The sequence below is a fragment of the Homo sapiens genome, chromosome 1 (genome assembly GCF_000001405.40).
Source record: "Homo sapiens chromosome 1, GRCh38.p14 Primary Assembly".
NCBI classification, from domain to species: Eukaryota; Metazoa; Chordata; class Mammalia; order Primates; family Hominidae; genus Homo; species Homo sapiens.
Window position 1 is genome coordinate 93,841,706 of NC_000001.11, and position 23,134 is coordinate 93,864,839.

A 23,134-nucleotide genomic window follows, 5' to 3' on the forward strand; every position below is an offset into this window, starting at 1 on the left:
CCAGATCATGTTCCCTTTATCCTTAGCTGTGTTTCTTGTCCTCTTCTGAACAGGCTGATGGCACAGAACCATGCCTGACTTTGTCACCAGTACTCTGAACCCCAGTGACCTTCTTTACCAGCACCTGCTGCAACCAAGGTCAAGTTTTTGGCACCCTTTTAAACACTGTGCACTGAACTGCTCAGCCTCCATTATTTTCCCAGCCTTGTCCTATCTTCTTCCTCATAACTCCTGAGTCTGGTTTCTACCCTGCGCCCTAGCCACAGCATTCCTTGTACGCAAGTCAGTCCTAGGTTAGATAGCCCATTTCAAATGCAGCCTCCCTGTGTAATTCCCTCTCACAATGTAATCTTTCTCTTCCCTGAAGTCCCGTATCACCACACCTGCACCTCACTTAAAGACCTTTTTATTTTACATCACAGCTGTTTGTGTACCTGTCATCCTTTTTTTTTTTTTTTCCCCAGAGATGGAGTCTCGTTCTGTTGCCCAGGCTGGAGTGCAAATACTGTGATCTTGGCTCACTGCAACCTCTGCCTCCCAGGTTCAAGCAGTCCTCCTGTCTCAGCCTCCCGAGTAGCTGGGATTACAGGCATGTGCCACCACACCTGGGTAATTTTTATATTTGTAGTAGAGACAGGGTTTCACCATGTTGGCCAGGCTGGTCTCGACCTCCTGAGCTCAGGCAATCCACCCGCCTCAGCCTCCCCAAGTGCTAGGATTACAGCCATGAGCTACCTACCACGCCTGGACTATCATCCTTTCTATAAGGCTTGTAAGCCAAGCACATGTGTTTTTCATCTCTGTATGCCCCAAGGTCACTACTGGACCCTCAGACGGTTTTCTGAAAAGATGAAGAAATCAGACAAATTAAATAGGATGCAGTAGTCTCCCTGACCCTCTGGACCCACTCCATTCTGCCTGCACATCCCCTCCTATAGTAATCACTCTAAACACAGCTTTTCTCATGCCAAATGCTTTCCCATTGCCACATTCCTTATCTTGAATCAAGTCTGCCCCTACCCCTTTTGCCGTATCTGGCCTGGATCCTACCTTCCCAACCTCGTCTGTTGACACATCTTCCATCACCCCAAACTGTACTTCCATAAGGACCCATCCAACCCTCATTTTTGTCTTGACGTTATGTTTTTCTTCATCCTGGAAAATTTTCTTTTCCTTCCCCTGTTCCTGCCTGGCCACCTAATGTGGTTTGGCTATTGGCCTGGCTCAGTAATCACACTCAGCACTGAGATATTTTAGGATGAAAAAGCCCTTCATTTCAATGTTGTGAGTAGATTTTAGGATGAAAAAGGCCTTCATTTCAACGTTGTGAGTAGATTTTTCTAGCAAGAAATGAGTCTTCTTAAGTCCTTAAGGGTGGATGGTACCCTTGTCTTGGGAAACCATGTGGTGGGTGGGACAAATGAAAATAAAAATGTGCCTAAGGTTCTTGAACTAAGAACTGTGAGGAATTGAAGCTGAAGGTAGATGTCTTCAGTCTGAGAAGCTAAGTGTTCTGTTCGGTAACAGAAATGAAATGTACAGCTGAGTAGGAGTGGGGTAGGGAGCTGCAGAATGTCCCTCCGGTTGCAACAAATTTAGCTGATGCTGTATCTGTACTGTCCTTTGTTTCTGCAGGATGTGGGATTTCTTTATTAAGAGCTACTTACTAATATAATAGCAAATATTTGTTACACACTTACCATGTGCCAGAACTGAGACAAGTCCTTGAGAGGATTAACTCTTGCAATTCTCATAACAATTTTATAATTTTTCAGGCAGAGAAGTTAAGGATCATGTCCTGCAAATAAAGGCTGAACCAAGATTTGAATGACAGGGTCCTGACTCCACAGGCTGTACTCTTAACTGCTACTACCACAGTTTTTGTTTGTTTGTTTTTTAAATCTCACCCTTTAAAAATTCCTTTTTAGGTATGTTTTATTAGTAGTATAATAGAGCATCCTGGTTCCTTGGGGGTCCAAACTGAAAAATTTTTACCGGTAGGAATGCCCAGTCACATTATGCCACTTTTTCACATGCTACCTTGCTTCATTTGCTTATTGCTTCATATTCATAAATCGTATTTCTCCTAGGAAATTTGGAGTGTCCTTGAAGGTAGGAATTATGTCTTAAACTTTCACTTGGTTCCCACAGTAGGCCTAACTGTATTGTCCCTACTCATTGAATTGAATAAAACTGGTACTCCAGCAACCTTATACCTCTGGAGTAAAGCAAAGCTAGTGCAAATATATACAGTAGAAGTATAGTCCATTTCCAGAGCTTCTGGGAAGGCCGAAATCACTAACCACACAGTAACTTAAAAATAATCCTGCTGGCCAGGCACGGTAGCTCACGCCTCACTTTGGGAGGCCGAAGCAGGCAGGTCACAAGGTCAGGAGTTCAAGACCTGCCTGGACAACATGGTGAAACCCCATCTCCATTAAAAATACAAAAATTAGCCGGGTGTGGTGGCACGTGCCTGTAATCCCAGCTACTTAGGAGGCTGAGGCAGGAGAATTGCTTCAACTCGGGAAATGGAGGTTGCAGTGAGCCAAGATCATGCCATTGCACTCCAGCCTGGGTGATAGAGTGAGACTCTGTCTCAAAATAAAAATAAAAATAAAACACCAACATGAAACCGTATTTAATTTAGGGCTTTGCTGTCCAGCGAACTCAAACTGCAGATGTGCTGCAATCAGCCTAATTGAAAGTGGTTATAACCCATGCTTTGACTCCCTCTGTTGGCAGGAAGAGGTTGCTTTCTCACTTGCGGGAATTCTTAGCTCAGGTTGTATAATGGCTGTTTACTACAGATACAGCCTGAGAAAATTCAGCCAGATTAGATAAGGGGAAGACAACACCCACTGAATCTTTCTCCCCAGATGGCAACTAAATACTCTTTTCATTTTTCTTACATGCTAACATTGCTACCTATAAACTGCTTAGTTAATTGTTCAGAGAACCACCACACACCTGACCTTGTTTGGCTGTGACTTTCTTCTTTTTTTTTTTTTTTTTCTTTTGGAGATGGGGTCTCATTCTGTCGCCCAGGCTGGAGTGCAGTGGCGCGATCATAGCTCACTGTAACCTCAAGCTCCTGGCCTCAAGTGATCCTCCCGCCTCAGCCTCCAGAAGTGCTGGAATTACAGGCGTGAGTCACTGCACCTGGCCCCAGTCTTCTAATTGCAGGGTATAAGAAGTACAACCTTGATAGCTCACAGAAGGCTGCACAGGGAAAGCCTGGCTTTCCCACACTGTCTGCTAACACTGTATCTCTAATATTTTCCATGATACAGGAATTTTTTTGGCTTCATCTAGTGGAATAAAATATCTAAAATTATTCGTTTGAATCATTAAGTGGAATCAAACACATACACATCTTTCCTTAGCACATTGTTTCTTTCCCAATTCCCCCTTTCCAGAATTTTTATATACGCATCTCAACTGTCACTTAATCACGTCAATGACTCCTCATCATTTGAGATTTGGCTCCAATACCCCAGGCAGAATTCCTCTGTATGGTTTTCCCACAGGCATACAGAGCATCTCTTCTCCCATTTCGGCTGTGAGCAACTCCTAAGACCAGTGGAGACCCTGAGATGCCACCAGTGCCTGGCATATTTCAGAATTCAAAAAAGATTTGTTTAAATAAATACAATTTAAAACCATATTCCATTTTAAAGGCTAATTTTATCCATATGAGAATTCTCCCTGCATGCAATGTGAAGACATTTAATTCATTAAAGGGGCATAACAATTTTATATATATATATATATATATATATATATATATATATATAAAACTTTGTTTACATTAGAGTATAATTAAATAGGCCTGGCACCAATCAGGGCTCTGCCACTTACTGTTTGGAGAAGCGATTCACAATTCGCATCCTTGCACGTTCTTCCTAGATGTGCCAAGAATGCAAGACCCTGATCACGCTTTACTTGGGCCATTTCTCAGCGTTGTGTTTGCAGCGAGCAATCTTGAGGGATGAGGTAATGTCTCCCTATGGAACAAAGAGCAGGCTTGCTTACTGCTCACTATAACATGGTGGGTTCCCCAAGCTCAGCATTCCTCTTCTGTAATGCAACCCATCTTGTGTGTAAGCATGCATCTGGGCCCGTGTGCTTCGTTCCTGTGAGAACTGGGGTCCAGGGAGCCAACTCAAAAATGGTGATACTCTGGCTATTGCTTTTGTTGTAATAGTCTTTTATCTCTGACTCAGAAGTCTGGTGTGTTCTGTCAGCATTCATGAAACCGTGAAAGCTAACGTGTTAGTTTGCAAACATAACAAAATATGATTCATCACAGTTCTCCACGCTCACTAGCTGGGCGTCCCTACACGAGTTTTTTAACCTCTCTTAGCTGCAGTTTCCCTTCTTTATATTATAAAGGGGACGGTGGTGTGTATGTACCCGCCCCATAGCTTCGTCTTGGGGTTAAGTAAGACTGTAAAATCCCTACCACACTGGACTCTTCCCAGGACTTCCCTTTCCCTCTTTGAACTCTGCCAGAGACTATTCTGCATTTGAGGCCTGGCGATGCTGGGCAGGGGCGGGTATGGGTGAAGCACAGGGTGGGCCGCGGCTGGCGGGTTTGGTGCAGAAACGGGCTGTGGCCGAGCCGAGAAAGCGCGCCCAGCGGCCGCCCTGCGAATCCTCCGTAGGCGGGGCCGGGACTGCTGTGAGCTAATAGGAACGGGGGCCGGGCGTTCGGTCTCGCCGCTGCAGTCGCAGAGCAACCACGCGGCTTTGACCGTCTATTTCAAAGGGCTTCGGGGTCTTGCGGATGGGGATCACTGCGGGCACTGGAAACCTGCCGGCCCCCACCCAGCCGCCTCTCAGATTCGTGGCGACCGCACCCTTCTGGGCAGCGGCGCCAGGCCCGCTGCCGTCCCCACCGCTCGCAGCCACCAGGAAACCCCGCGGCCGCGCTCGAGCGCGCGCCCTCCGACCACATGCACCCGCATACGCATGCTCCCAGCGCTCCCACGCGTGCTGACACCCTCCCGGCTTCCGCCCACGCAGTCGCGGGCCCCGGGCGCGCGGGCTCGGGGCAGCTGCGCGGCGTCCTTGGAGGCAGGTGCTGGCGGCAAGACGAGCTCTCGGAGGATGCTGCGGCGCGGGGCGCGTCGCCCCCCTCAGTCCACCAGAGCCCGGATACCTCAGAAATTCGGCTCTGGGTCTGTGGGGAGCGAAATGCAACCCAAACCCCGTTTTTCGAACCCCGCGCAAATAAACACGCACAAGCACGCACACAGACGTCGCGCGGCGGCGCTCGCGCGCAGGTCCAGCCGCGGCTGGGTCGGGCGCGGCGGCCGGGCGCGAGGGAAGAGCCCAGGCCCGAGAGGGGTCGCCGCTTACGTCTCGCAGCCCGAGGGGAGGCCGCTCGGCCTCGGCCGCTCACAGGCGCGACGTAAAGGCCCGGCGTCACCGGCCCGGCTTAACGGTGCAACGGCTGGCCTGGGCCTGCAACTCTGGGGTCCCGGCCGGGCTGGAGCGGCCGCCGGAGAGACCTGGTAGGCGGGGCGCTTGGGGCAGGAAGGGAGCCGGGGAGGGAAAAGCGCGACTGTGATTCGTACGGCTGGGCCCGGACCGTGAAGGGGACCGGGTTGCGGCTGCCCTCACACCGACCAGGTGGGACCGTCGGACTGCGGCCGCCCTTGGCTCAACTGGGTCGCCGACCTTGTTGAGGGGCGACCACTGCGGGGAGACCGAGAGCCTGCGGCTGGCGTTTGAGGCGGATGGCAGTGCCCTGAGCGCGGCGGCTGGGTCTCGGTGACACTGACGACGGGAGGCGCGGTCGGAAGAGCGCGGGGCCGTCGCCTCTGGCTTAACATAGCAGATGCGCTGAGACTCCAACAGGTGGCTCCGTGGCGCAATGGATAGCGCATTGGACTTCTAGAGGCTGAAGGCATTCAAAGGTTCCGGGTTCGAGTCCCGGCGGAGTCGTAACGCTTTTTTCCCTCCCCCCTACAATTTATTTTCTGCCTCCATCATGTCTCTTATTTTTTTTTTTTGCTAAACGGTTTAACTTCTCTCTCATTCCCTGCTCTCGCAGTTCACTGCATTCGGTTCTTGCGGTCCTTTCTTAAGCGGCTCGCAGGGTCCCGAGCCCCTCAGCTCCCCGGGCCTCGGTGGCCCAGGGCCCAGCTCAGCCGACTGGGCAGTCGATGTAGGTCCTGAGAAGAGCGGCGGCGGCGGCGGCGGCGGCGGCGAAGGAAAAGCGACACTGAAGCGAAGGCTCGCGGTTTCGGCCTAAAGGAAAGTGCAGGGGAGGCCCGGGTCTCGGGTGACACCCCCACGCCTTGAGCGGGACTGTGGTTGCGAGGGAGGGACGAGAAAACACGCCTACGCCCTGCGTGCGCTGTGCTGACTACCTCTCCAGCATGGAGGCTTCCAGATGAGCAGACACCCGAATCCCAGCGGGAGCCCGTCAAAAATGGAGATTTCTGCCGTCACTCTGGGACTCTTAATTCGGTCCGTCTGGGGTGGGGCCCAGGAATCTGCATTTCTGATAAGGTCACCCGCTCCCCTCCCCCATTATTCCAGTGCAAAGAGGTCCTAGGCCCAGTGCCCATCAGCTCCTCAAGACAGGAATTACTATATCTTTTTCTGACAACTGTTAACTTTGTACAAGGTTAGCAAATAAATCCAGGAATGAATGGAATCTTAAAACTCGTAAAACAACAATGAAAGGTAATTCACACAAAAGATACAAAATCCAAAATTGTCAAAAAAGATACAGGGAAAAGTAAACATCCATGTTATTCCTATAGTCCAGCCTTGCAATTCTCTCCACAAGCCATTAGTGGTAATGGTTTCTTGGAAATATTTTCAGATTTATTTTATGCCCATATCAGCATTTTTAACATCTTTTGTCATAAATATGTCGTAAATAACAATGTTATTGATACATATCCTTTTAAAAACACAATGGTAGTATGCTATACTGGCTTGTTTTACTTATGAATATATGTAGAGCTGCCTCGTTCCATTGTACGTATGTATGGTAATGATTTAACAGTCCCTAATAGCTGGACATTTAGATTGCCAGTATTTTCCTATTACAAACAATGCATCAGTGAACATCCTTGTTCTTTTATTATTGTACACAAGTACAGGTACATCTATCTGTAGGATAGATTCCTAGAAAGTTGAATTGCTGGTTCAAAGGTTTGTGCGTTCTTAATCTGTACATTTTTTAATATATATTGGCAAATTGCCCCATAGAGATTGTATCCATTTTTCTCTCCTTAGCAATGTGTGAGAGTGCCTGTTTCCCCACAACTCACAAAAGGTGGTTTCTAGCTGTGATTTTAATTCGTCTCTTATATTGATTTTTTAAAATTTGTATTTATATTATTATTATTATTATTTGAGACAGGGTCTTGTTCTGTTGCCCAGACTGGAGTGCAGTGGCACTATCACAGCTCATTGCACCCTCAACGTCCTGGGCTCAAGCAGTGCTTCCACCTCAGCCTCCCAAATAGTTGGAAGTACAGGCACATGCCAACACACCCGGCTAATTTTAAAATTTTTTGTAGAGATGGGGGTCACTCTATGTTGTCTAGGCTGGTCTTGAACTCCTGGACTCAAGAAATCCTCCCATCTTGGCCTCCCTAAGTGCTGGGATGACAGACAGGAGCTACTACGCCTGGACTGTGTCTTTTATTATGAATCAAGATGAGTACCTTTCCATACAGAGAATAATTTGTAATTTTTTTCCTGTGATTTATCTGTTCTTGAGTTGTGTTCATTTTTCTGTGGTATGATGGAAAACAGCCCTTTGTGATATATGTTACACTTATTCTTTTTCAGTCTTTTTGTCGTTTGACTTTGTTTATGGTATTTTGTTTTGTTTTTCTGTCTTACAGAAATTCATGATTCATGTATTTGGATTTATCAGTCTTTTATGGCTTCTAGGTTTGGGGCCATAATACACTCAGATTATTAAGTTATTTCTTTAATGGCTTTATTTTTATGGTTTTGTTTATCTTTGCTTCATCTGGAATGTGTTTTTGTATAAGGAGTGAAGTGGAAGTTTTGTCCCAAAATCACTTTTAATGAACACTCCTTCTTTTCTACACGATGTCATTTGAAATGCCACATTTATAATTTTTTTTTTTGAGACAGAGTCTTGCTCTGTTGCCCAGGCTGGAGTGCAGCGGCACAAATCTCAGTTCACTGCAACCTCCACCTCCCAGGTTCAAGCAATTCTCTTGCCTCAGCCTCCTGAGTAGCTGGGATTACAGGTGCATGCCACTACGCCCGGCTAATTTTTGTATTTTTAGTAGAGACGGGGTTTCGCTATGTTGGCCAGGCTGGTCTGGAACTCCTGAGCTCAGGCGATCCATCTGCCTCTGCCTCCTAAAGTGCTGGGATTACAGGCAAGAGCCACCACATCCGGCCCACATTTATAATTTTCTAAATTCCCACATGCATATGGGTTTCTGGATTCTCTGCTGCATATGGGTTTCTGGATTCTCTGCTCTATTCCACTGACTTTTCTGTTAATTTTGATTCACCAGAACTGTGCTGTTTTACCATTTAGTAGGGTCAGTCCTTGTAGGGTCCAGCCCCACAGGGTCAGTGGGTTTTCGCCCCATGTGTGGAGACGAGAGATTGTAGAAATAAAGACACAAGACAAAGAGATAAAAGACAGCTGGGCCTGCGGGACCACTACCACCAAGATGCGGAGACCAGTAGTGGCCCGAAATGCCAGGCTGCGCTGATATTTATTGGATACAAGACAAAGGGACAGGGTAAGGAGTGTGAGCCATCTCCAATGATAGGTAAGGTCACATGGGTCACGTGTCCACTGGACAGGGGGCCCTTCCCTGCCTGGAAGCCGAGGCAGAGAGAGAGGGAGAGAGGAGACAGCTTGTGCCATTATTTCTGCATATCAGAGACTTTTAGTACTCTCAGTAATTTGCTACTGCTATCTAAAAGGCAGAGTCAGGTGTACAGGATGGAACATGAAAGCAGACTAGGAGCGTGACCAGTGAAGCACAGCATCACAGGGAGATGGTTAGGCCTAGTCAGGCCCTCCACAAGAGGTAAAGGAGTAGAGTTGTCTCTAAACTCCCCTGGGGAAAGGGAGACTCCCTTTCCCAGTCTGCTAAGTAGCAGGTGTTTTTCCTGGACAGCGACGCTACCGCTAGACCATGGTCTGCTTGGCAACGGGCGTCTTCCGAGACGCTGGTGTTACCGCTAGACCAAGGAGCCCTCTGGTGGCCCTGTCTGGGCATAACAGAAGGCTTGCACTCTTGTCTTCTGGTCACTTCTCACTATGTCCCCTCAGCTCCTATCTCTGTATGGCCTGGTTTTTCCTAGGTTATGATTATAGAGTAAGGATTATTATAATATTGGAATAAAGACTAATTGCTACAAACTAATGATTAATGATATTCATATATAATATCTATGATCTATAGTATAACTATTCTTATTTTATATATTTTATTATACTGGAACAGCTCATGCCCTCGGTCTCTTGCCTCAGCACCTAGGTGGCTTGCCACCCACAAGTCCTCTCTTGTTACTCTTTTGTTTTTTTAAACATTTTTCTACTCATTCTTGAATTATTATTTTTCCTCAGTGAATAATAATAGCACTTATTTGGCATTTGTTATATGACAGGTACTATTCTCAGTGCTCTATGTATCTTCATTTAATCCTCCTGACAGCCCTACCAGGCAGATACTATTATCCCCTTTCATGGAAGAGGCATCTGAGACAGAGAGGTTAAGTAACTTGTGCAAGGATACACAGCTAATAAGCAACAAGCCTGGATGAGAACCCAGAAAGGCTGGGTCTATGGGTAAAACCACAATTCCTTATCATCTTTTCACATGAGCTTTAGCTACAGCTAGTCTGGCTCTAATTTTAGGAGGTATTTTTGTTGGAGTCATGTTATATTTATAGATTAAAATAGAATTGGGCCAGGTGCTGTGGCTCATGTCTGTAATACCAGCACTTTGGGAGGCCAAGGCAGGTGGATTACTTGAGGCCAGGAGTTTGAGATGAGTTTGGCCAACGTGGCGAAACCCCGTCTCTACAAAAAATATAAAAATTAGGTGGGCATGTTGGCACATGCCTGTAATCCCAGCTGCTTGGGAGGCTGAGGCACGAGAATCGCTTGAACCTGGGAGGTGGAGGTTGCAGTGAGCTGAGATCGCACCACTGCACTCTAGCCTGGGTGACAGAGCCAGATGAGAGAGAGAGAGAGAGGGAGGGAGGGAGGGAGGAGAGGGAGGGAGGGAGGAGGGGGAGGGAGAGAGGGAGGGAGGGAGGGAAGAGAGGAGAGAGAGAGAGAAAATGAGAATTGAACTAATTAGGATGTTGAGTCTTCCTGTGTAAGAGCAGCAGGAGGAAATAAAGAACAGCTATGCCTTTTCATTTTCAGTCCTGTGCTCTTCTGGAGTGTGTTAAATATAAATCTTGATTTTTTTAACTTTATTTCCAGATAGTTTATCTTTTTTGTTGGAATCCTTTCCTCCACTATATTTTGTAACTGGTTATTATTTATATATAAGAAGGCTTTTGATATTTTAAATAATTTTATATCTCATTAAATTATCTTACTATTTAAAATAGTTTTTCAGTTCTAAATCACAATGAGATACCACTTCACACCCAGTAGGAAGGCTGTAATAAAAAAGACGACAATACAAGCATTGGCAAGGATTGGAACCCTCATTCATTGCCAGTGGGGATGTAAAATGTGTGGCCTCTTTGGAAAACAGTTTGGCAATTCCTCAAAAAATTAAATATTAGAGTTACCATAGGACCCAGCAATTCCACTCCTAGGCATATCCCCAAGAGAACTAAAAACATGTCCACACAAAAATGTGTATAGGAATATCCATAACAACATTATTTTTGTTGCGGTGGTTGAGACAGGGTCTCGCTGTGTTGTCCACGCTGGAGTGCAGTGGAGTGCAGTGGCATGATCACAGCTCACTGCAGCCTCGACCTCCTGAGCTGAAGGGAGCCTCCCATCTCAGCCTCCCAAGTAGCTGGGACTACAGGCGTGCACCACCATGCTTGGCTAATTTTTGTATTTTTTGTAGAGAATGGGTTTCACCGTGTTACCCCAGGCTGGTCTCGAACTTCTGGGCTCGAGTGATTCGCCTGCCTCAACCTTCCAAAGTGCTGGGATTACAGGTGTGAACCACCATGCCCGGCTAGCATTGTTTTTAATAACCAGAAAGTAAAAATAATCCAAATGTCCATCAAATGATGATTGGATACACAAGATCTGGTATACCTATTTGATGAAATATTATTCAGCAAAAAAAGGAATGAAGTAGTGATTCATGTTACAATATTAATAAGCCTTGAAAACATGCTAAATGAAAGAAGCCAATCACAAAAGACCACATATTGTATGATTCCATTTATATGAAATGTCTAAAATAGGCAAATCCATAGAGACAGAAAGTAAATTAGCGGTTGCCAGGAATTGGGAATGGGGAGAATGTGAAGTGACTGACTGCTAATGGGTATGGGGTTTCTTTCTGGGATGATGAAAATGTTCTGGAAGTAGTGGTGATAGTTGCACAACTGTGAATATACAAAAATCCATTGTATTATACACTTTTCAAATGGGTGAATTTTATGATAAGTGAGTTATATCTCAATTTAAAAAAGGAAAAATAGTTTTTCAGTTGACTAAGTTGTGTTATCTAGAAATAGCCTCAAATTATAAGTTTACTTTTTCCTTTCTAATTTTTATGCTTACTATTATTTTTCTTGTAATAGCATTAGCTAGTACAGTAATCCAGAAAATGTTAAATAATTTTTCATGATAATGGTGATAGTGGACTTCTTTGACTTGTTCCTGGTCATTATAGAAATAGAAATGCTTCTTCACTAAGCATGATGCTGGCTTTTGGGGTTGGTGTGGCATGAGCACACACATGTTTTATCACATTAAGAAAATACCTATCCCTATTTCTTTATAATCTATGGAGATTTTTCTTTGATCTCATATTGCGTGATATATTAACAGATTTTGTAATATTTAACTCATTTTACATTCTTGAAATGATCCTACCTGGTTGTGGTGTATACTTATTTTAATATTCTAACATTTTACAATTTTTGCATAGTTAGAAAAATTGACATTTATTTATCATAAAATGAATAGCATGTACAGCATTGTTTGTAATGGCTCCCAAATTGGAAATAATCTAGATGTTCATCAATAATAGTCTGTTTAAAGAAAGTGTGGTAGAGACATAGAATTAAATACAACGCAGACATTTTAAAAATGAGAAATATCTATATATATTGCTATATCCAAGAATATCCAAGATTATGTGAAAAAAGAAGATATGCAGATGAATATTTTAAATGAGATTCCATTTGTGTTAAATAATGCCCATAGTAACAGTAGAAATTATGTATGTTTACTCCTATCACTGTGCATGCATAGATGATTTCCCGAAAGATATTCAAACAATTAACAGTGGTTACTTTAGGGTAATGCTGGTTTGGGGGAAGCAGTGGTATGAAGGGAGGGAGCATTCCTTTTTACTGTATACCTGTATGTAATGTTTCAGGTTTTTTCTTAATAAGCCATCTTACCTTTATAATAAAAAGTTAATTTTTAAAAAGTTAAAGGTCGGCCAGTTGCGGTGGCTCATGCCTGTAATCCCGGCACTTTGGGAGGCCGAGGCGGGTGGGATCACCTAAGGTCGGGAGTTTGAGACCAGCCTGACCAACATGGAGAAACCCCGTCTCTACTAAAAATACAAAATTAGCTGGGCGTGGTGGCGCATACCTGTAATCCCAGCTACTCGGGACACTGAGACAGGAGAATCGTTTGAACCCAGGAAGTGGAGGTTGCAGTGAGCCAAGAATGCACCACTGCACTCCAGCCTGGGCAACAAGAGCAAAACTCTGTCTCAAAAAAAAAAAAAATTTTTTTTTAATGCTAAAGAGGAAGGAAAAAAGAGTACCTACGTGTTCCTGGATCACCTTCACACAGGTAGCTCTAATACTGCTTATCCATTAAAGATTTCTCAAACTTGGTTTTTAAAAAACATTTATTGACCCCTTATGCTCTACTATATGCCTGATTTCAGTGATTAATAAGCCCATTAGGAGCCCATCTGTTAAGCATCTCTAGGAACTCCTCCTGATACTATTGGAGAAACATATAAACTAAATATCTCTTTTCAGAGTGATTCCAGCAGGAATCATATCCTGTAAGTCTTGTACACTGTGTTGAAGAGTGTGGACTTCACCCTAAAGGCAATGGGAAGCCACTGAATAGTTTTTAGTTGAGAAGCAGTAGGATTAGATGTGTGTTTTGTACCACTGTCTGGCTGCAATGTGGATCACGGGCTGGAATAACACAAAACTGGAAGTTGGAAGACCAGCCCAAGGTAGTTGGAGCTATCTAGGTAATAAAATGATGAGGACTGGAACCAGGGAGGTGGTTTGGAGAGAAGGTTAAGTATACAAACTGGAGATGTTTCAAGGGAGGCCAAATTGATGGGCCTTGATGAATTAAGGGATGTAAAGGAGAGAGGGAGCAGTCAGAATGACTCCCATTTCTAATTAGGCAGATGGGTGGGTGCTGAAGTAGTCACTGGGACCACAAACAAAGGAGTGAGAAGTGGGTTTGGGGATGGGGGATGGAAATGAGCTCAGATTTGCATATGTTGAGTTTGAGGTCTGTGGAACATCCTGGCAGCTGGATATACAATGCCAAGCACATAGCAGGCTCTCAGTAAGTATTTATAGAATGAAAGAATATCAGGAAGAGGAGAATTATAGGAAGGGAGAGGGAAAGAAAAGAAGAGAAGGTCTGGAGCTCAGGAGAGAGATCTATGCTTGGGATTTAAAATTCATTATCCTACAGATGGCACTTGAAGCTCTGGACAAAGATGAGATTGTGTAGGGAGAGTGTAGAGTAAGAAAAGATGGGCCAGGCGCGGTGGCTCACGCCTGTAATCTCAACACTTTGGAAGGCTGAGGTGGGTGGATTATGTGAGGTCAGAAATTCAAGACCCGGGGTGGAGCCAAGATGGCCGAATAGGAACAGCTCCAGTCTACAGCTCCCAGCGTTGAGTGACGCAGAAGATGGGTGATTTCTGCATTTCCAACTGAGGTACCGGGTTCATCTCACTGGGGAGTGTCGGAAAGTGGGTGCAGGACCGTGGGTGCAGCGCACTGAGCGTGAGCCGAAGCAGGGCGAGGCATCGCCTCACCCGGGAAGCACAAGGGGTCAGGGAATTCCCTTTCCTAGTCAAAGAAAGGGGTGACAGACGGCACCTGGAAAATTGGGTCACTCCCACCCTAATACTGTACTTTTCCAATGGTCTTAGCAAATGGCACACCAGGAGATTATATCCCACACATGGCTTGGAGGGTCCTATGCCCATGGAGCCTCGCTCATTGCTAGCACAGCAGTCCGAGATCAAACTGCAAGGCAGCAGCGAGGCTGGGGGAGGGGCGCCCGCCATTGCCGAGGCTTGAGTAGGTAAACAAAGCAGCCCAGAAGCTCGAACTGGGTGGAGCCCACCGCAGCTCAAGGAGGCCTTCCTGCCTCTGTAGACTTCACCTCTGGGGGTAGGGCACAGCCAAACAAAAGACAGCAGAATCCTCTGCAGACTTAAATGTCCCTGTCTGACAGCCTTGAAGAGAGTAGTGGTTCTCCCAGTACGCAGCTGGAGATCTGAGAACAGACAGACTGCCTGCCTCCTCAAGTGGGTCCCTGACCCCCGAGTAGCCTAACTGGGAGGCACCCCCCAGTAGGGGCAGACTGACACCTCACATGGCTGGGTACTCCTCTGAGACAAAACTTCCAGAGGAACGACCAGGCAGCAACATCTGCTGTTCACCAATATCTGCTGTTCTGCAGCCTCCGCTGCTGATACCCAGGCAAACAGGGTCTGGAGTGGACCTCCAGCAAACTCCAACAGACCTGCAGCTGAGGGTCCTGACTGTTATAAAGAAAACTAACAAACAAAAAGGACATCCACACCAAAACCCCATCTGTACGTCCCCATCATCAAAGACCAAAGGTAGATAAAACCACAAAGATGGGGAAAAAACAGAGCAGAAAAACTGTAAACCCTAAAAATCAGAGCCCCTCCCCTCCTCCAAAGGAATGCAGCTCCTCACCAGCAACAGAACAAAGCTGGACGGAGAATGACTTTGACATGTTGAGAGAAGAAGGCTTCAGATGATCAAACTACTCCAAGCTAAAGGAGGAGGTTCGAACCCATGGCAAAGAAGTTAAAAACCTTCAAAAAAAATTAGATGAATGGCTAGCTAGAATAACCAATGCAGAGAAGTCCTTAAAGGATCTGATGGAGCTGAAAACCAAGGCATGAGAACTACGTGATGAATGCACAAGCCTCAGTAGCCGATTCGATCAACTGGAAGAAAGGGTATCAGTGATGGAAAATCAAATGAATGAAATGAAGCAAGAAGAGAAGTTTAGAGAAAAAAGAATAAAAAGAAATGAACAAAACCTCCAAGGAATATGGGACTATGTGAAAAGACCAAATCTACATCTGATTGGTGTACCTGAAAGTGACGGGGAGAATGGAACCAAGTTGGAAAACACTGCAGGATATTATCCAGGAGAACTTCCCCAATCTAGCAAGGCAGGCCAACATTCAGATTCGGGAAATACAGAGAACGCCACAAAGATACTCCTCGAGAAGAGCAACTCCAAGATACATAATTGTCAGATTCACCAAAGTTGAAATGAAGGAAAAAATGTTAAGAGCAGCCAGAGAAAGGTTGGGTTACCCACAAAGGGAAGCCCATCAGACTAACAGCTGATCTCTCAGCAGAAACTCTACAAGCCAGAAGAGAGTGGGGGTCAAAATTCAGCATTCTTAAAGAAAAGAATTTTCAACCCAGAATTTCATATCCAGCCAAACCAAGCTTCATAAATGAAGGTGAAATAAAATCCTTTACAGACAAGGAAATGCTGAGAGATTTTGTCACCACCAGGCCTGCCCTAAAACAGCTCCTGAAGGAAGCACTAAACATGGAAAGGAACAACTGGTACCAGCCACTGCAAAAACATGCCAAATTGTAAAGACCATCGAGGCTAGGAAGAAACTGCATCAACTAACGTGCAAAATAACCAGCTAACATCATAATGACAGGATCAAATTCACACATAACAATATTAAACTTAAATGTAAATGGGCTAAATTCTCCAATTAAACGACACAGACTGGCAAATTGGATAAAGAGTCAAGACCCATCAGTGTGCTGTATTCAGGAAACCCATCTCATGTGCAAAGACACACATAGGCTCAATATAGAGGGATGGAGGAAGATCTACCAGGCAAATGGAAAAAAAAAAAAAAAAAGGCAGGGGTTGCAATCCTAGTCTCTGATAAAACAGGCTTTAAACCAACAAAGATCAAAAGAGACAAAGAAGTCCATTACATAATGGTAAAGGGATCAATTCAACAAGAAGAGCTAACTATCCTAAATATATATGCACCCAATACAGGAGCACCCAGATTCATAAAGCAAGTCCTTAGAGACCTAGAAGGAGACTTAGACTCCCACACAATAATAATGGGAGACTTTAACACACCACTGTCAACATTAGACAGATCAACGAGACAGAAAGTTAACAAGGATATCCAGGAATTGAACTCAGCTCTGCACCAAGCAGACCTAATAGACATCTACAGAACTCTCCACCCCAAATCAACAGAATATACATTCTTCGCAGCACCACACTGCACTTATTCCAAAATCGACCACATAGTTGGAAGTAAAGCACTCCTCAGCAAATGTAAAAGAACAGAAATTATAACAAACTGTCTCTTAGACCACAGTGCAATCAAACTAGAACTCAGGATTAAGAAATTCACTCAAAACTGCTCAACTACATGGAAATTGAACAACCTGCTCCTGAATGACTACTGGGCACATAACGAAATCAAGGCAGAAATAAAGATGTTCTTTGAAACCAACGAGAACAAAGACACAACATACCAGAATTTCTGGGACACATTCAAAGCAGTGTGTAGAGGGAAATTTATAGCACTAAATGCCCACAAGAGAAAGCAGGAAAGATCTAAAATTGACACCCTGACATCACAATTAAAAGAACTAGAGAAGCAAGAGCAAACACATTCAAAAGCTAGCAGAAGGCAAGAAATAACTAAGATCACAGCAGAACTGAAGGAAATAGAGACACAAAAAACCCTTCAAAAAATCAATGAATCCAGGAGCTGGTTTTTTGAAAAGATCAACAAAATTGAGACCGCTAGCAAGACTAATAAGAAAAGAGAGAAGAATCCAATAGATGCAATAAAAAATGATAAAGGGGATATCACCACCAATCCCACAGAAATACAAACTACCATCAGAGAATACTATAAACACCTCTATGCAAATAAACTAGAAAATCTAGAAGAAATGAATAAATTCCTCGACACAAACACCATCCCAAGACTAAACCAGGAAGAAGTTGAATCTCTGAATAGGCCAATAACAGGCTCTGAAATTGAGGCAATAATTAATAGCTTACCAACAAAAAAAAGTCCAGGACCACATGGATTTACAGCCAGATTCTACCAGGAGTACAAGGAGGAGCTGGTACCATTCCTTCTGAAACTATTCCAATCAATAGAAAAAGAGGGAATCCTCCCTAACTCATTTTATGAGGCCAGCATCATCCTGACACCAAAGCCTGGCAGAGACACAACAAAAAAAGAGAGTTTTAGACCAATATCCCTGATGATCATCAATGCAAAAATCCTCAATAAAATACTGGCAAACCGAATCCAGCAGCACATCAAGAAGCTTATCCACCATGATCAAGTGGGCTTCATCCCTGGGATGCAAGACTGGTTCAAAATATGCAAATCAATAAACGTAATCCAGCATATAAACAGAACCAAAGACAAAAACCACATGATTATCTCAATAGATGCAGAAAAGGCCTTTGACAAAATTCAACAACTCTTCATGCTAAAAACTCTCAGTAAATTAGGTATTGATGGGACGTATCTCAATAAGAGCTATCTATGACAAACCCACAGCCAATATCATACTGAATGGACAAAAACTGGAAGCATTCCCTTTGAAAACTGGCACAAGACAGGGATGCCCTCTCTCACCACTGCTATTCAACATAGTGTTGGAAGTTCTGGCCAGGGCAATCAGGCAGGAGAAGGAAATAAATGGTATTCACTTAGGAAAAGAGGAAGTCAAATTGTCCCTGTTTGTAGATGACATGATTGTATATCTAGAAAACCCCATCGTCTCAGCCCAAAATCTCCTTAAGCTGATAGGCAACTTCAGCAAAGTCTCAGGTTACAAAATCAGTGTGCAAAAATCACAAGCATTCTTATACACCAATAACAGACAAACAGCCAAATCATGAGTGAACTCCCATTCACAATTGCTTCAAAGAGAATAAGATACCTAGGAATCCAACTTACAAGGGATGTGAAAGACCTCTTCAAGGAGAAATACAAACCACTGCTCAAGGAAATAAAAGAGGATACAAACAAATGGAAGAACACTCCATGCTCATGGGTAGGAAGAATCAGTATCGTGAAAATGGCCATACTGCCCAAGGTAATTTATAGATTCAATGCCATCCCCATCAAGCTACCAATGACTTTCTTCACAGAATTGGAAAAAAAACTACTTTAAAGTTCATGTGGAACCAAAAAAGAGCCTGCATTGCCAAGTCAATCCTAAGCCAAAAGAACAAAGCTGGAGACATCACGCAACCTGACTTCAAACTATTCTACAAGCCTACAGTAACCAAAACAGCATGGTACTGGTACCAAAACAGAGATATAGACCAATGGAACAGAACAGAGCCCTCAGAAATAATGCCGCATATCTACAACTATCTGATCTTTGACAAACCTGACAAAAACAAGCAATGGGGAAAGGATTCCCTATTTAATGGTGCTGGGAAAACTGGCTAGCCATATGTAGAAAGCTGAAACTGGATCCCTTCCTTACACCTTATACAAAAATTAATTCAAGATGGATTAAAGACTTAAATGTTAGACCTAAAACCATAAAAACCCTGGAAGAAAACCTAGGCAATACCATTCAGGACATAGGCATGGGCAAGGACTTCATGTCTAAAACACCAAAAGCAAGGGCAACAAAAGCCAAAATTGATAAATGGGATCTAATGAAACTAAAGAGCTTCTGCACAGCAAAAGAAACTACCATCAGAGTGCAGGCAACCCACAGAATGGGAGAAAATTTTTTCAATCTTCTCATTTGACAAAGGGCTAATATCCAGAATCTACAATGAACTCAAACAAATTTATTAGAAAAAAACAAACAACCCCATCAAAAAGTGGGTGAAGGGTATGAACAGACACTTCTCAAAAGAAGACATTTATGCAGCCAAAAGACACATGAAAAAATGCTCATCATCACTGGCCATCAGAGAAGTGCAAATCAAAACCACAGTGAGATACCATCTCACACCAGTTAGAATGGCGATCATAAAAAAGTCAGGAAACAACAGGTGCTGGAGAGGATGTGGAGAAATAGGAACACTTTTACACTGTTGGTGGGACTATAAACTAATTCAACCATTGTGGAAGTCAGTGTGGCGATTCCTCAGGGATCTAGAACTAGAAATACCATTTGACCCAGCAATCCCATTACTGGGTATATACCCAAAGGATTATAAATCATGCTGCTATAAAGACACATGTACACGTATGTTCATTGCAGCACTGTTCACAATAGCAAAGACTTGGAACCAACCCAAATGTCCAACAATGATAGACAGGATTCAGAAAATGTGGCACATATACACCATGGAATACTATGCAGCCATAAAAAATGAAGAGTTCATGTCCTTTGTAGGGACATGGATGAAGCTGGAAACCATCATCCTCAGCAAACTATCGCAAGGACAAAAAACCAAACACCACATGTTCTCACTCATAGGTGGGAATTGAACAGTGAGAACACACGGACACAGGAAGGGGAACATCACACACCAGGGCCTGTTGTGGGGTGGGGGGAGGGGGGAGGGATAGCATTTGGAGATATACCTAATATTAAATGACGAATTAATGGGTGTAGCACAGCAACATGGCACATGTATACATATGTAACTAAGCTGCACATTGTGCACATGTACCCTAAAACTTAAAGTATAATAAAAAAATAAAAATAAAAATAAAAATAAAAAGAAATTCAAGAGCAGCCTGACCTACATGGAGAAACCCCATCTCTACTAAAAATACAAAATTAGCTGGGCGTGGTGGCGCATGCCTGTAATCCCAGCTACTTGGGAGGCTGAGGCAGGAGAATCGCTTGAACCCGGGAGGTGGAGGTTGTGGTGAGCCGAGATCGCGCCATTGCACTCCAGCCTGGGCAACAAGAGCGAAACTCTCTCAAAAAAAAAAAAAAAAAAAAAAAAAAAAGAAGAGGGCTGAGTATAGAAGACAGAAACCCAGCACAGACATTTGAAGGACAGGCAAATAATGAGTCCTTCCAAGAGACCAGGAAAGGGTGTCCAGAGAGATAGGAAGAGATGCAGGGAAGAGGTGTTTCCCCAAGAACCAATGGAGCAAGTTTCCTCTGGAGGAGAAGGGGGTCAAGAGGAAAAGAGAATCACCTAACATTTTTTGAACACCTGCTTTATGCCAGAAAGTTTATTTAACCCTTACCATTTAATTATCCCCCAATTCTAAGAAGTGTGAATTATCCCCATTTTACAGATGAGAAAGTTAAGATGCAAAGATGTTCTGAGAGTCGGGTGAAATGATCAGCCTAAGAATGGTAGAAAAATGCCTGTCCTTCTGAGGCAAGAGGGAAGGGGGCAGAGATAAAAGCATGAAGGTAGACAGGGGACAACTGAAGGTGTTCATGTTTGAAGACCTAGCTTCTGTGTGCTCTCTTTTACAGCTCTACTCATACCTAGGACCTAAGGAAGGTATTGACAAAGTGGAAGCTGCCTTAAAGGATGAGACACTCCCACCTTTTTGTTGCCTATGACCAATACAGATTCTAAAAGACCAGAGGTCAGGAGCGGTTTCATATCAATTTCCTCCTTATCTGGGACCTTCTACATCCATCAGTTTATATTTTGTAACCTACTCACCCTCAGTATGTAACTTTTGAGTAGTAGTTTGTGCGAGGAACTATGCACGAAGGAAATACAAACATGAGTGAGATAGAGTGAATATTCTTAAAAGTTGAGCCTAGTGAGGGACAGAGAGCATGGATTGGTGATTTCATTAATTAGGATTGGTTTCAGCTATGAGTGTGACAGGACACCCACAATAATGGTGGACTTTACAAGATAAAGGCTTTTTCTCTCTCATGTAGAAATAACAGCTACCAGGGAATAGCAGCTACTTAATCATGAGAGATCCAGGTTCGTTCTTATTCTTCCATCCTCAAAATGCATATTCTTCCATCCTCAAAATGCAGCTTCCACCTCCTGCTCCAAGATGGCTGCTTCTGGTCAACATACCAGGAGCCATCAGGTCAACGTACTAGCTTGTGGGAAGGAGATGAAAGGGCAGAGAAGGGCCCTACTCCAACCTCATCCATCTTTGAAGGACACTTCCTAAAAGTTGCACATACCACTTTTTTCTACTCACATCCCATAGGAAGGTGGGAATTACAGCTTTTTTCCCCCAGGTGGCCACATTCTCAGCCAAAAATCAAGTGTCCTGTAACTACAGAAGAAAGTTAAAGTCCAGCAATTTCTGCCAGTGATGCTGAAACAGGTGTGCAGATAGCTGTAGTTCAAGACAAGAATAAAAGTGTGACAGAGATTTACACTTACTAGTTCTGTGACCATAGATTAATCTCTGTGCCTCAGTTTCTCACTTATAAAATGGGATAATAGCACCTACCTCATAGGTTTACCAAATGCCTAAGTTATTACATACAAATATAATGTTACATATGTACATACGAACTTAGGTACATAAGTGTAACATAAAAATAAGTTATATGTGTAAGTCCTTAGAACAGTCCCTGACAATAAGTGCTATATAGACATTTGTTAAATAGAAATAAGTGGAGTAAAAATAAGCACAGGCAAATAGGAGTATATACATCCGTGTAGAGAATCTGAAAAAGGCTTTCTGAAGCATGTAGACTGTCAGCTCTGTGATGGCTAGGATGACCTCCTTTCCTGTGCACCCCTAGCACCTAGTGTGGTGCCTTACACAGAGGAGATGCTCAAAGTATTGGTTGCTGAATAGGCTTCAGGTCAGTACTATTTTGTTAGGTGAAATGGAGGCAGGAAAGATATTTTAGGTGGAACTAACCATATGAACAAAGACATAAAAGGTGAACCTGTCATGGTACTTGGTGTGCATGGAACTCAGTATATGTTGATTGAATGAATGCTCAGTATCAAGTAGTTTGGTTTGGCTGAAATGTATCAGTCTGGTTTGGACAGAAAAACACATCACTCTAGAGAATTTAATATAGGGAATTGTTCCACAGGTGGCAGAAATGCTGAAAGTGTTGGCAACGCAGATACTGCAACAGTAGGAAACGTCTACCACCTCTAGTGCCAGAGGGACAATGGGAGATGGTGTTACCGGAACCTGGAAGCCTGAGTCATCTGGCTGGTGGGGGCTGGGAGCATGGTGGGGCCACAACCCAAACCAAGGCAGAGGAGAGAAATACCCTGGTTTATTTCCTCTTCATGCCCCTCTGTCTTTTGTCAGTGTCTTACTGTTAAGCCAGTTGGCAAGGGAATCTGGGAAATGTAGTTTCCTGCAATCCAGACACTCCAGAGCAGACCAGAGAAAGGGTGTGAAAAGAGCTGAGAGAGAAATAGGCAAGTAAGTAGCACAAGTGAAGTTTAGGGCATGAGTAGGGAAGCAGTGAATATAAACCTGTGGTGGCGTCATTTTGTGGAGGGGCTTGAATGTCAGGTCTTGAATGTAGGGTTTCTGTATGTGTCATTACGCAGAGGTGAGCCATAGAAGGTAAAATGCAGTATGGCCTCATTAAAACTGTTCAATGGGGAGGTTGGGGGAGAAAAGGGAAACAGTAGCTTCCCTTTGAGTACTTGTTATTTACTAGGCATGGTGCTAGTTTTTATTTAATCATCTCAGAAAAATGATGTGTTTGGTTCCAGATACGTGGAATTTGAGATAACTTACTA

General features: G+C 44.0%; 1 protein-coding gene and 2 non-coding genes across 26 annotated transcripts in view, besides 6 other annotated features; 2 read left to right on the forward strand and 1 right to left on the reverse strand.

The window, feature by feature from the left end:
* Window positions 1-6,446, reverse strand: part of BCAR3 (BCAR3 adaptor protein, NSP family member) — a 286,411-nt gene extending 279,965 nt beyond the window's left edge. For 7 of the 24 annotated variants that reach the window (NR_178013.1, NR_171551.1, NR_178010.1 and 4 more), the window contains exons 1-2: window positions 5,365-5,514; window positions 3,862-4,007 (exon numbers count right to left, since the gene is read on the reverse strand). The gene's annotated coding sequence lies outside the window, so the exon portion shown is untranslated. Of the gene's footprint in view, window positions 1-3,861; window positions 4,206-4,465; window positions 4,618-5,247; window positions 5,515-5,685 lie in introns of those variants that run through there. The other 17 variants (NR_178006.1, NR_178007.1, NM_001412048.1 and 14 more) reach the window with 6 other exon arrangements.
* Window positions 4,418-4,547: an enhancer, noted in NCBI's record as "active region_1342". NCBI's record gives its function as "activates an Ori minimal core promoter by ATAC-STARR-seq in GM12878 lymphoblastoid cells {active_cell/tissue: GM12878}" and the evidence as "EXISTENCE:reporter gene assay evidence [ECO:0000049][PMID:35858748]".
* Window positions 4,678-4,737: a silencer, noted in NCBI's record as "silent region_1086". NCBI's record gives its function as "represses an Ori minimal core promoter by ATAC-STARR-seq in GM12878 lymphoblastoid cells {active_cell/tissue: GM12878}" and the evidence as "EXISTENCE:reporter gene assay evidence [ECO:0000049][PMID:35858748]".
* Window positions 4,828-5,207: a silencer, noted in NCBI's record as "silent region_1087". NCBI's record gives its function as "represses an Ori minimal core promoter by ATAC-STARR-seq in GM12878 lymphoblastoid cells {active_cell/tissue: GM12878}" and the evidence as "EXISTENCE:reporter gene assay evidence [ECO:0000049][PMID:35858748]".
* On the forward strand, window positions 5,127-5,206 carry MIR760 (microRNA 760). Its single transcript, NR_030621.1, has one exon. It is a non-coding gene; the product is annotated as a microRNA 760 (primary transcript).
* Window positions 5,223-6,013: an enhancer, noted in NCBI's record as "H3K27ac hESC enhancer chr1:94312484-94313274 (GRCh37/hg19 assembly coordinates)". NCBI's record gives its function as "activates a minimal SCP1, AML or CMV promoter by ChIP-STARR-seq in naive H9 embryonic stem cells {active_cell/tissue: H9 hESC(naive)}" and the evidence as "EXISTENCE:reporter gene assay evidence [ECO:0000049][PMID:30033119]".
* Window positions 5,388-5,527: a silencer, noted in NCBI's record as "silent region_1088". NCBI's record gives its function as "represses an Ori minimal core promoter by ATAC-STARR-seq in GM12878 lymphoblastoid cells {active_cell/tissue: GM12878}" and the evidence as "EXISTENCE:reporter gene assay evidence [ECO:0000049][PMID:35858748]".
* On the forward strand, window positions 5,868-5,952 carry TRR-TCT1-1 (tRNA-Arg (anticodon TCT) 1-1). Its single transcript is given in 2 exon segments — window positions 5,868-5,904; window positions 5,917-5,952. It is a non-coding gene; the product is annotated as a tRNA-Arg (tRNA).
* Window positions 6,228-6,277: an enhancer, noted in NCBI's record as "active region_1343". NCBI's record gives its function as "activates an Ori minimal core promoter by ATAC-STARR-seq in GM12878 lymphoblastoid cells {active_cell/tissue: GM12878}" and the evidence as "EXISTENCE:reporter gene assay evidence [ECO:0000049][PMID:35858748]".
* Window positions 6,447-23,134: the final 16,688 nt, after the last annotated feature.